This window comes from Homo sapiens, chromosome 5 (assembly GCF_000001405.40).
Source record: "Homo sapiens chromosome 5, GRCh38.p14 Primary Assembly".
In the NCBI taxonomy this organism is placed as follows: domain Eukaryota; kingdom Metazoa; phylum Chordata; class Mammalia; order Primates; family Hominidae; genus Homo; species Homo sapiens.
The window spans coordinates 33806123-33819665 of NC_000005.10; the positions used below are offsets into that span (position 1 = coordinate 33806123).

A 13543-nucleotide genomic window follows, 5' to 3' on the forward strand; every position below is an offset into this window, starting at 1 on the left:
ATCTGTTGTGAATTTCAGCTTACTCATTAGTTATATAGGTCATATGTACCTTGAAGGAATGTTGTAAGCATTTAATGAAATGATGCAGAAGATCATGAAAATACAAAAAAATACTGCGTGTTTTCAATGTGTTAGTTCCTTCTCTCCCCTTACTCCCAATATACAGAAGTCACTGAAGAATCTAGAAATGCATCCAGTCCATACACAGAGATGTCATTAATGGAAGCACAGCCTCGAGGTTGGGAACACCATTCATCATGGCCAGCTAGCTCAGGGGCTTTTCAATACCAGTCTGTGGAATGGAATGGTGTTGGGCAGAAAGAAGTAACTTTTTAACTTTTTAACATTCTTACATGGAAAAGTAGAAACATCAGAACCTAATTTTAAACGATTCAATGAAATCCAAGTCAAGGAGTCTCGGCTTTGGTCCAGTGATGGAGCTGATGCTGACACTCCCCTTCTCCATGATTCCTGCCAAGGGTACATTACAAGGCTCTGTCTGAGCTTCTTGATATGCAAAAACATGTTACTGAGGCCACAACCTGGAAACTTTCACTTAGATTCTAGATCTTCTAAATGTGTTGGTTACTCTAGAATTTAGTGGGGAGGAGGGGAGTTTACATTTCTTTTAAGAAAACGAATACTGTCATGTTTCAGATTTCCAACGCATCCTATTTATCCTGTTCACTTTATCTTTGAAGTTTCTCCTGACGACGGCTGTCATCCATCCAGCTGCCATCATCCCCGTGCAGCCGCCACACAGTAACTGCTGACGCCAGGTGGCTCCTGCCCGCACTCTAACTCCTGCAGTCCACTTCCCACTTGACTGCCTCTACGATAGGTTAAAACTGCAGACCTACTCGTGTCATACCCCTGTTAAAACCCATTAATGGTTTTCCATGCTCTCAGAATAAATTCTGAATTCCTACACACAGCGTACAAGGCCCTTTCTCCTCTGGCCTCTCTGTGTGTCTCTAACCATTTTTCTCCTTTCTCTGTCTGTTTCAGCAATATTAGACTTTTATCTCCTCCAGGGTTCCACATTCCCTTCGGCCTTTGGACTTTTGTACTTGCTGCTTTTTGTTTCTCTCTGCCTGATATAGTCATTTTACAGATAAAAAAACTAAAGTTCAGAGAAAGGAAGTGACTCAGCCATGGACACTTCATCTGTTTCTTCATTAAGGAAACATCCAGATTTCTAAATACAGGAGAGGAATACAGTAGCATGGCTCCAGAATCAGACAGACTCAGCTTGAACTTTTAGCTTCATCATTTACTAGCTGCGAGATCTTAGTCAAATGACCCAACTCTTCTGTAATCCTTGTTTTCCTCATCTATAAAATAATGTTAGCGCCTATATCATTGGGTACCTGTGAGGATAAACTGAGATGATAGATGTAAAGTTCTTTATTTCAGAGCCTGGCACACAATAAGCATTAAATAAAAATCTGGTGGTGTTGACTTAATTATTGTTTTCATAATCATTGGTTGGCTTGATTGTTGACTTTTCAGATTTAAATTTAATGCAGTCATAAAAATGAAGGCATAATTAATTCACCCAGAAATATGGGACCACTTCAAGAATGGAGAGTAAATTACTTGTATCAGATGAAAGATCATTACATACATACCTGGGCAAGCGCAAATGAAACTTGTGTGGAATTCAAAGAGAACCATCACGAGTAATGGTTATTCAAAGTTAATAGGCAAAAAGAAGCAGGTGTGGAAGGAGAGTGCAGTTATCTGACAACGAGTTGGAGCTGGGATGCAGCTAGTAAGTGTGGGCCTCTCAGGAAATTTCACTATAGAAGAGGAAAGAAAGAGATGGGGCAAACTGTTTCTCTCAAGTGATTACAGCATATTGGAATGCGTGCAGGATGAAGTTAGCAGTAGAGGACACGGTGAAAATGAAGGACAGAAAGGTGGTAAGTGATTCTTCAAAGTTCTCAAGGAAGGAGAAACAACGGGATCAAAGGCTCAAGGGAAGGGAAAGCACGAGCCGCGTACAGAAAGAAGGACTTCTCTTCGGTGTAGTCAGAAGGAATTAGAGAAGTATGTGTCTTTACATACACTAGTGCAGTTTTCTGAAATGGCTGTGGGGAGCAGGGCCTGGGAAAAGCTATTTCCAGTTGCAGAGATGCCTTTGGTGTATGGAGTCTCTGTCAACAGTGGTTCTCAAACTTGGCTCAGCCTTGGACTCCCTGGGAAGCTTTTAAAAATTCTGATCTCCGTTATGCCCCATGCCAATTAAATCAGTATCTCTGTGGTGGAACACAGGCATCAGTAATTAAAACAAAACAAAAACAGGAGATTCTAATGTGTAGTCAAGTTTGAGAACCAGTTATCTAGAGGTATTATAGGAATGAATTGCATACGGTTAGAATAAAATTGTGTACAGTTAGAACCAAAAATAACTTCAGCAAATCTTTGGTTTTGTCTCTTTAAAATCAACACTACACCAGCAAATGCATAAAGGAAATCGAATAGAAGATATCAGAGTGCATTGCATATAAAAAGGGAAAGCATAATTTGTATAAGCATGTCTATTTACATACATTCATATGAAAGAACTGGGTACAGATATAAAATGTTTTTCTTATTAGGTCAGGGTCAAAAAAGCTTGGAAACCACTGATCTAGATAAACTCCTTTCACAGATGAAGAAACTGAGGCCCAAGGAGATTAAAAGTCTTCCTTAAAGTTACACAAACAAAAAGATAGCCAATTCCGGACTAGAATCTAGTTTCCGTGACTACTTTCAGGGTGCCCCTTGACCCTCTGTTTCCTGTGTGTTTTGGTTTCCTCTTCTCAGCACTATGATAAACTTCCTGAAGGCAAGGATTATGTCTTCAATTCTTTAGGGTTACCCACATTTATCCATTTCTTTGCTTTCCACATCCCGCTTCTCTCCTATGGATTCCATTCTTTTTCTTATTGAAGTAATTTTTCCGCAAAGCTCTCTTTTGTTCTTTGCTTGAAATTGTTTTTGTTTTGGTCTCACTTTGAATGATAGTTCACTTCATCAGGGATTCTCAAACTGTAATGAGCATTTAAAACACCAGGGATCCTGTTAAACTGCAGACCATGATGCAGTAGGTCTGGGATAGATTCTGCATTTCTTACTCACTTCCAGGTGATTCTGGTGCTGCCGGTCCTTGGACCACAGTTTGAGTAGCAAGAGTTTAGCAGATTCAGAATTCTACATTGACACTTACTTTCCACTCCTCCCATCCCGCCCCCAAATGCTTTGAAGATATTTTCTTGTCTTGTGGCTTCTATTATTGCTAATGAGAAATTTTATAACAGTCTAATATTTGTTTTTAAGAAACTTCTCAATCCCTCTGATTACTTTCAAAATTTTTATCTATCTTTGTTGTGTTCTAATTGTGTTGTGATGCACCTAGATTTATGTTTATTTATTCGACTTGGGATGACTTCTTCAATCTGAGGATTGAGCCTCTCATCACTTCTGAAAATTATCAGTCACTACTCCCTGCAATATGGCCTTATGGATCTTGCATTCCAGCAGGAGGAGACACACAATAAGCAAAAGACATAAATAAGTAGTGGTCACTTAAGAGGTAAGGGGTTCTAGGGCAAAAAGAAAAGGCTGCTGTGGGTGGGGATGGAGGTGCAATTTCAAATATGATAGTCAGGGTCAGGCTCACTGGGAATGTGACATTTTAGTAAAGACGTGGAGCATGCTGGAGAGACAGAGTTCCAGGCAGATGGGAGGCAGTACCAATTCTTTAGTAGAGACTGGGGGTGGGGGTGAAAGAGGAGAGAGGGAGAATCATACAGGGGCTTAGCACTGGAGTACCAAAGAAGTAAAAGGCATTTTAATCCTTAAGAAGTTTAACAGAAAAAAAAAAAAAAAAAACAGATTAGAAGCACTGAAAATATGATCCACTGGAAAATGCTGAATTACAGAGTCCTAAGAGTGCTCAGGGGAGAGGCAGGAGTGAAAGCACAAAAGTGGTCCTGCAATGCAAATACTCCTCCCTGAAAGCCCCTGGCCAAAACATAATGCATTTTACTGTCTAGAGAACGCTACTGGGTAAACAGAACACTCATCTGGTAGCAGAAAAAAATGCTAGAAAATAGGCCTGTAAAAATAAAAATCCAGTCATGAATTTAATGTCCTTTCAAGAGGATTTTTGAGATAGGTTCCTCTTGGATTGTATCCCTCTAAAAATCCCATGTTCACATAACCAAATGTGGGGCAAGTTTTAATCAGGCATAACAACTACGTTTCATTTTCTCTTCCACTTCCAGGATGATCAGAAGTAAATGTTCCAATTGCAGTAAATCCATGCAAAAAGCTTTTTTGGCTTATTACACCCCATACCCCCACATACGCTATTTATCTTTTTTGTTTGTACTATTGGTCCTATTCAATATGTGTCTTTTATTGTAAGCAATTTCAAACCTGATTAGAAGGGGAGTTGTGGAAAAGAGTACAAAAAAAGTGAAGTAATTTCTAGAAATCTAGACTTGATTCTCATGTGAATCCCTGGGATAGCTGAGAGCCCTAAGAGTTCTGTGAGTACCAGCAAAACAAGGGATATGACAGCATCATCCAGGAATTTTGCCCTAAAATTGAGGGGAAAAGTCTTTCTTCTGCCCCACTTCTTGTCTCAGGACTCAGAATAAAGCCAAGCCTATCTTTACTTGACTCAACAATGGCCCCTGGAGACAATGGGCCAGTTATCCCTTAGCCAGGCTCTGTCACATTCATGTCCATACACTCCTCAGCCATCTTGCTTCATATCTAAATTAAGTCCTGGTCACTCCCTGTGCTCCTTGTCCCACCTCTTTGCTGGGTTCTCTCCAGTGTATCATCTGCCTTTTAGTTACAGCTGTTTGATGTGGGGGATGACGTGTCATGGCAGGAAAAGTACTGGCCTTGGAGCCAACTCCTTGAAGACCAAAATATAAGTCTTGGCCCTGCTCGTGATCTTGGACTCTACGCACTAGTTTCTGCATCTGTTAAGCAACAACAACAAAAACATGGGGGCTAATAGTACGTACTGTGCCAACTCATAGAGTAATATCAAATTCAATAATGAAATGTAAGAGCACTTTGTCACCAGGATGATCAACACTAGAGCTTCCCAAACTTTAAATTGCTTCAAAATCCCCCAGGGAGTCTGTATAAAGGGGAAAAACAGATAATAAACATATTAAACTAGGAAAATATATATAGTTTTTTAGAAGGTAGTCAGTGCAAAGGTGAAATCCAAAGCATGGCAAGGGAGTGCAGGGGAAGGATGACTTCAATTAGGATGGTCACAGCAAGTCTCACTGAGAAGGTGATGTCTGAAAAGACTTAAAAGGGGTGATCGTCATGCCAATATCTGGGAGAAAAGTGGTCAGGAAGAGGAAATGGAACAAGAAGGGCAAAGGCCCTCTGGGGAGAGCATGCTTACTGTGTTCAAGGAACCAGAGGACCAGAATGGCTAGAGGAGAAAGGATTCAAGGAGACTAGAGAGAAAATGGGGCCATATCCTCCAGGGCCCCATACGTTGCAGTAAGGGCTTTTGACTTTTACTCTGAGTGAGATGGATGCCACTGGAGGAGGCCATAAAATGCCTTGTGTTTTGAGTGGACATCTGACTGTGGCACCAAGAATAGCCTGTAGGGAAATAAAGTAGAAGCTGAGAAACCAGGTAGGAGATGATGGCATTAACCCAGGTGAGCCAACAAGGTGTCCTGGACCAGGACGGTTCTGGTGGAGGAGGAGAGAGTGGTTGGAATCTACACCCGTGCTGAAGGCAGAGCCAGCCAGATTTACAGATGAACTTGGGAGGTGAGAGGAAGAGAGAGTGAAGTCAGGGATGACATAAACGATAGGGAAGCCACTAACTCAAAGATTTGTCAGCAGCTTGGTGTGGTGTCTCAAGCCTATAATCCCAGCACTTTGGGAGGCCAAGGCAGGTGGATTGCTTGAGCCCAGGAGTTTGAGACTAGCCTGGGCAATAAAGAAAGACCTCGTTTCTACAAATTAAAAAAACAAAAATAGCCAGTCTTGGTGATATGTGCCTGTGGTCCCAGCTACTTGGGAGGCTGAGATGGGAAAATCACTTGAGCCCAGGGAGTCAAGGCTGGAGTGAGCCATAGTGGTGCAACTGCACTCCAGCCTGGGTGACAGAGCAAGACTCCGTCTCAAAAATAAAGATCTGTGAGTAGTGATTGTGAGTAGGACAGATGTTGATGGGAGAATTAGAAGTTCAGTTTTAGGCAAGTTGGTTTCTTAAGCTTAAATGAATATATCGAAAAATGAACACATTTTAAGTGGGCAGCTCGTTGAATTTGTACACAGAGAACATACCAAGTTACTCACCTCAAGATCAAAAAGAGAATATTCTGTCCAACAGAGAAGCTTCCTTCACACACCTCTTGGTCATCACCTATCCCAAAGATAACTGTTATTCTGACATTCATAAACATAGATTAGTTTTGCCTGGCTTTGGACTTCATGTAAATAAATGGAATTACACAATATCAACTCTTGTGTTTGACTTTTTTCATTCAGTATGAACTGTGTGAGAATCATCCACATTGTTAAATATAACAATGGTTCATATATTTTCCATTGTTGTGCATTATTCTATTGTTTGAATACATCACAACTCATTTATCCATTCAATTATTGATGGATATTAGGCTTGTTTTCAATTTGGACTATTACTGATACTGCTGCCATGAGCTCTCTTGTACATACTTTTGTCGCACATATATGTGCATCTGTCCTGGGTATATATCCATATATACATATGTCTAATGCATCTTTTCATTTAGAACCTAGCCAAGATGCCATAAGGAAGCCCAGGCCGCCAGGAAGAAAGACTCATGTGAAGGAGAATCAAAGCAAAAGTCAAACACAAAAGAGTTTATTTTGTATAATTCTATTTACGTGAATTTCAAAAACAGAAAAAACTAATTCATATTGAATTCCTAAGTGATAGCCAGTACCAGCTTGCAGCCATGTGGGTGACTTGCTGGATCACGCAAAACAGATTCCCAGTGTTATGCACCAACTTAAAGTCCCACCAGCAATATTTAAAGAGTCTATATTGCTCTGCATCCTCCCCAATAGTTGTGCTGCCAGATTTGTTTGTCTGCTTTTTTCATTTTAGCCATCTGGATCGGTATGTAGTGTTATCTTGTAATTCTCTGATAACAACTTGTATTTCTCTGATAACACAAGGTGAGCACATTTTGATGCCTATTGGTAATTTGAATAACCTTTTTTTGCAAAGTACTTGTTCAAGTTGTCTGTGAATCTTTTAATTAATTGCTGTGGTTGATTAAAGATGGCTACAAGTTCTTTGCAGCCATTCCCCATACACTCTGAGTGGTGGAGTAGATTTCTCCACCCCGCTGAATCTGGGCTAAGCCATTGACTACTTTGATCAGTAGAATACAGTAGAAATTATGCACTGCCAGTTCTGAGCCTAACCTTGAAGAGGGCTGACAGCTTCTGTGTCCTCTCACTTAGAACCTAGCTACCATGCTACAAGGAAACTCAACAAATCATATGGGAATGCCCATATGGAAAATAATTAAGGTCTCAGGCTAACAGCTCCAGCTGGATTCCCAAGTGACAGCCAGCACCAATTTGTGGGCCATGTGAATGGCCAGTCTTGGAAGTGGATTCTCCAATCCCCGTCAAGCCACCTCATCTGATGCCATGTGGAGCAGAGACATGCTGTGCCCCCTGAGCTCTGCCCAAATTGCAAAACTAACAAATTGCTCAAATTACAAAAATAACATGGTTACTTTTTTAAAGCCACTAAGTTTTGAGGTGGTTTGTTATGAGGCAATAGGTAAGTAAAAATAGCTTTCTGTCTTTTCTTACTGATTTTCAGGAAATTGGGGCATATACTGAATATGAATCCTTTGTTGCAAGTATGTTCTTCAAATATTTTCTCCCAATCTGTGGCTTGCTATTTCCCTCCCTTAATGATGTCTTTAATTAGAATGAAATCCAATGTATCAATCTTTTCCTTTATCTTAGTGTTTTAATGAAGGAATTGCTCCTTGCTCCAATGTTATAAATATTTTCCCCTGTATTACATTCTAGAAATTGGAAGGTTTTCTTTTTTATACTAAAACCTGAAATTCATCTGGAACTGATTTTGCTTATGATATGAGATAGAGGTTGAGATTTACTTTTTTTCCATATAGATATCTAATTCACCATTGCAATTATTGAAAAGGCCATCCTTTTCCTGCATTGTAATATTACCTTGCTCCTAAATTAAGTGATTGCATGTGAGATCTGTTTCTGGACTTACTGTTCTGTTCAATTTGCATAAGTTAAATTTAAATTTTCTGTTAGCTCAATTAAGTGGAGCAGTCAATTAAGCAGTTAGATACATGAGTTTGAAATCCAAAGCAGATATTTAGGATGAAGATATAAATTTGGGAATCATATGTTTATTGGTTTTCTGAAAAGCCAATCTCAATGGAACTGGATGAAATCACCCAGGGAATATAAGTGTAGATGAGTAGAGGGGAAGCCCAGGCACTGAATCCTAGGATCCTTCAACATTAAGAGGCTGGGAAAAAGAAAGAACTGGAAAAATGGAGAGGCAAGTGTACAACATGCACACTAGAAAAAGTTCTTCACGGAATAACTTCACGTCAACTGCGTCAGTGACAATGATAAGTCAACTCAGGACTGATAATTTACTGTTGGCTTTATCAATGTGGGGACTACTGTGACCTCGACCAGAGGAACTGACAAGACACTCCTTGAAAGGAGGAGTGATGGAGACAAATTCTCGAATCGTAGAGTTTAGGAAAGAATAGGAAAAGGAGTAATGAGAGACAGTGATTTTGCTGCAAATACTGTCAGTAGTTTTGTTACAGATGTGGAGCAGAGTTGCCAACTCAGGTGCTGGGCTTGTCAAGGAGGGTTGTTGTTGTTATTGTTGTTAAATATGGAAGAAATAACAGCAAGATGGTGCAATGAAGGGGAAATTAACAATGCAGGAAAAATAATTTGCTATTACACCTCAGCACTGATTACTTTTGCAGGCTAGCATCTCTTCCCTTGCACCCTCTGGGTCTTGGAGACTGGTGCACAGGTCAGGGAAGTTGTTACAAACTGAATGTTTCTGTTCCCATTAAAGTCATAGATTGAAGCCCCAATCCCAGTGTGATGGTATGTGGAGGCCGGGCCTTTGGGAGGTAATTATTAACAGGTTTAGATGAGGCACTGTGAGTAGAACCCTTATGCTGAATTAGTGCCATTATAAGATGAAGAGACAGCAGAGTTTCCTCCCTCTGCCGTGTGAAGATGCAGCAAGAAGTCAGCCAGTGCCTGCAAGCCAGAAAGAGGGCCCTTGCCCTGAACCTGACCATCCTGGTGCCCTGATCTCAGACTTCTAGCCTTCAGAACTTTGAGAAAGGAATATCTGTTTTTTAAGTCACCTACTCCACAGTGTTCTATTATAGAAGCCTCAGCTAAAAAAAGAAGATTTTAGAGGATTATGGGGAACAGACTTAGCTAGGACATCAACGTTAAAGATGTTGCACAATGAGCAAGGCAGATATCCTGGGGTCCTGGCAAATGAAGGAGAGAGGAGCGCATAGTCCTGAAAGCAGGAAAGGCAAGTTTTACCCAGATCGCAAAGGTATCCAGGACCAGTCCTAATTCCATCTCCTCTAACTATCCAGGAAGGATTCCTCTAAAGTTCTGATGATATTAATGGAGACCCTCTTTCTTCTCTTTCCTTTCACAGCTGGTGTGGACCAGCATCCATCAGTTCACATACCAAGAAAATGTCCAGATGGATGTCCTGTGCTCTCTCATGGGTCCTCCTGGTCTCCGTCTGCAAATTCATTGCCAATTTGCCATCCTTCAAACAAAGAGTAGTGTGATTCTATGGAAAGATGATGAGCACCCAGGTCTGGTCCTGCCATAGTGACTAGGAGCAAGTCAGTGGGCCTCCCTCAGTTTCAGTATCCTTGGGTGAAAAATGCGCACCGCCTGTCAGATCTTTTTCTGTCTTCTGATTATATTTTCCTCACCTTCAGGATTTTTTTGTATTATAAATGAAACAGTTTATAATTGTGTAAATTTGTGGGTATAAAATAATGTTATGATTTATGAATACAATGTGGAATAATTAAATCAAGCCAGTGAACACATCCATCATCTCAAATGCAGTACCTAACAGTTTTTGTGATAATATTTTAAATGTACTGTCTTAGAAATTTTGAAATGTACAATACTCTGTTATTAACTGTATCTACCATGGTATGCAATATAATTCAAAACAAGAAAAAATATATATTCCTCCTGTCTGAGATTTTGTACCTTTTGACCATCATCTCCCCCTTCCCTTCCCTTCACCCGCTAGCCTCTGTATCCCCAGTCTTCCCTTCACCCCCATTCTACTCTCTGCTTCTATGAGGATTATAACCTCTATTGATTCCATTAACATTTATCTAACATATCCAATCAAGAATTACTACTTAACAGTTATGCACTTAGTGCTGTGCTATGTGTTGAGGTTACAAAAAGTGAAGTATAGGCTAGTGGGAGAAAGCCAATGAGAATGAAAAGAATCACAATCCAATGGAAATGACAGGTGAGGAAAGCACAGGGGTGTCTGGGGGTACATCAACTGAGGATGAGAAGCTGAAGAGCAATTTTGTTCTAAGAGTGAGTAGGATTGTTCTGAATCAGATTTTAACTTAGTAGCCTATTTCTTCATCTTTGCCTCAGATACCTACAACTCTAGCTCTTTATATATTGGGTCTCTGTTGATACTGAAACATTTCCAAACAAGTTTCCAAGCAACATAAACTATTGTTTCCCTCAGTAAGTGTGTAGTTTACGGTGCTTCCTCTCCAGGGTGCAGGGGTCAAGAATGAAAAACAAACAGCCTCTCAGTCTATGAGCTGATCACTCAAGCTGTATCCTTAAAAAATATTAATCAGACTTCTACACAAAACAGCTGCTTGGAGGACAAAAGGAAGGTTCAATTCTGCCATTTTGGAAAGATAAGTCACACAGCAAGGTCAAAGCATGTGGTACAATGTTGGATAAACAAGTAAGAAACTCCAATCTTGAAACCTACAGGTAGTAAGTAGTCTATGTTTTACAAGAGACATTAACTTGAACTTTAGTGGAAACTGCCTTGCACTAGAATTAGAAGAATCAGGTTTGGTTATCAATTCATTCATACCTGCAATTTATCATTTAGTCAGTCAAGAAATATTTATGATTCCACAGAATGGAATTCTCCTCACCCTCTTCATTCTTCCCTCTCTAAACCCTGAATACTCAAGGGTCTCAAGTTCCTGCCTTTTCCATTAAACATCCTAATAGGAGTTCTTTATATTGTTATTATGGAAAATACCAAACATTACAAAAATAGAATGGTATAATGAACCTCCATGTACTCCTCACCCATTTTCAGCAATGATCAATTCTTGGACAATCTCATTTAATCTATACCCACCCACTTCCCCCAAACCACATCCTGGATTATTTTGTGGCAAATTCCAGACAGCAGATAATGTCATCAGAAAATATTTGAGTATGTATCTCCAAAAACACAGATTCTCTTTTAAAAAAAAATACAACTACAATGCTCTTTTCACGCCTAAAGAAATTAGCCATAATTCTTTAATTTATCAAATAGTCAGTCAGTATTCAGATGTCCCTGATCATCTCATTTTTTAAAATATGTGACTTTTTCTCCACCTTTCTCTTTTCCATTTAACATTATATCATGTAAATCTTTCCATAGTAGAATATAGAGATACTTAAAAGATCCTTTTCATATAAATAGAGCATTGAGGTTTTATCATGTGAAAAGAGAGCAAGGTATGGATTTATTTGTCTTTTTAAAAATAAATGTTACTGTGTACATTTGAGGTTTACAACATAGGATATATGTAGACAGCAAAATAAATCTGTGGTGAAGCAGTTTAACATATCTATCATCTCACATAGTTACTTTGTTGTGACAAGAGCAGGTAAAATCTACTTATTTTCTACAACAAAAATCCCTAATATTATATAATTTTATTAATTTTAGTACTCATGTTACATTAGATCTCTAAACTATTTTATATATATCTTATATATTTGCTGTTTTCATCCTTTGACCTACAGGTCCATATTTCCTCTCCCCCATCCCCCTGATGACCACTGTTTCATTCTCTGGGTATACAAGCTCTTTCTTAAAAATATGCCACATATAAGTGACATCATGCAATTATTTTTCTTTCTGTGTCTAGCTTAACTTAGCATAATGTCCTAATGGCAGGATCTCCTTCTTTTTTAAGACTGAATTGTATTCCATATATACACATTTCCTTTATCCATTTGTCTGTTTATAGATACTTAAGTTTTTTCCATATTGGCTATTGTGAGTAATGCTGTAATTCACATGAGTGTAGATCTATGTATGAGGTGGTGATTTCCTCTCTTTGGGGTATACTCAGAGGAGGGATTGCTGGGTCACATGTTAGTTCTATTTTTAATTTCTTTAGGAATCTCCATATTGTTTTCCATTGTTTTCCATAATGGCTGTACCAATCTACATTTCCACCAATGGTGTACTAGGGTACCCTTTGCTCCACACCCTCACCAACGTTGGTTATCTCTTGTCTTTTTGGTAATAGCCAAACTTACCAGTGTGAGGTGATATCTCATAGTGATTTTAATTTGCATTTCCTTGATGATTAGTGATGTTCAGTACTTTTTCATATAACTGTTAGTTATTTGTATGTCTTCTATTAAGAAATATCTATTCAAGTCCTTTTCTTATTTTTTAATCAAATTATTTTGTTTTCTGCTATTGAGTTGTAAGAATTTTTAAATAAATTTTAGATATTAACCTCTTATCAGTTATATAGTTTACAAATTTTTTTCCCAGTATGTAGGTTGCCTTTTCATTTTGTTGATTGTTTCCTTTGCTGTGCAAAGCTTTGTACTTTGATGTGGTCCTATTTATTTATTTTTGCTTTTGTAGCCTGAGCTTTTGGTGTGATATCCAAAAAAAGTCATTGCCAAGGCCAATGTTCAAGGAGCATTTTCCTTATGTTATCTTCCATGAGTTTTATGGTTTTAAGTTTTACATTTAGATCTTTTAACCATTTGAATTTTTTGTATGATGTAAAATCAAATTTCATTATTTTGTCAGTGGAAATCTAGTTTTCTCAGCATCATTTATTTAAGAGACTATTCTTTTTTCATTGTGTCCTCTTGATGCCCTTGTTAAAAATTAGTTGGTTAGGATTTATTTCTAGGCACTCTGATTTGTTCCATTGGTCTATGTTTCTGTTTTTATGCCAGTATCATACTGTTTTGATTACTGTAGCTTTGTACTATAATTTTAAATTTCGACATGTGATGCCTCCAACTTTGTTTATCTTTCTCGGTTTTGCTTTAGCTATTTGCAGTTTGTTTTTGTTTTTGTTTTTGTTTTTTGCATGGTTCTATACAAATTTTAGGATTCTTTTTCTAGTTCTGTGAAGAACACCATTGAAATTTTCATAGGAATTGTGTTAAGTCT

General features: G+C 38.7%; 1 protein-coding gene across 4 annotated transcripts in view; it reads right to left on the reverse strand.

Moving 5' to 3' along the window:
- Positions 1 to 13543, reverse strand: part of ADAMTS12 (ADAM metallopeptidase with thrombospondin type 1 motif 12) — a 368456-nt gene that overhangs the window by 282588 nt on the left and 72325 nt on the right. The gene's annotated exons all lie outside the window — the stretch shown is intronic.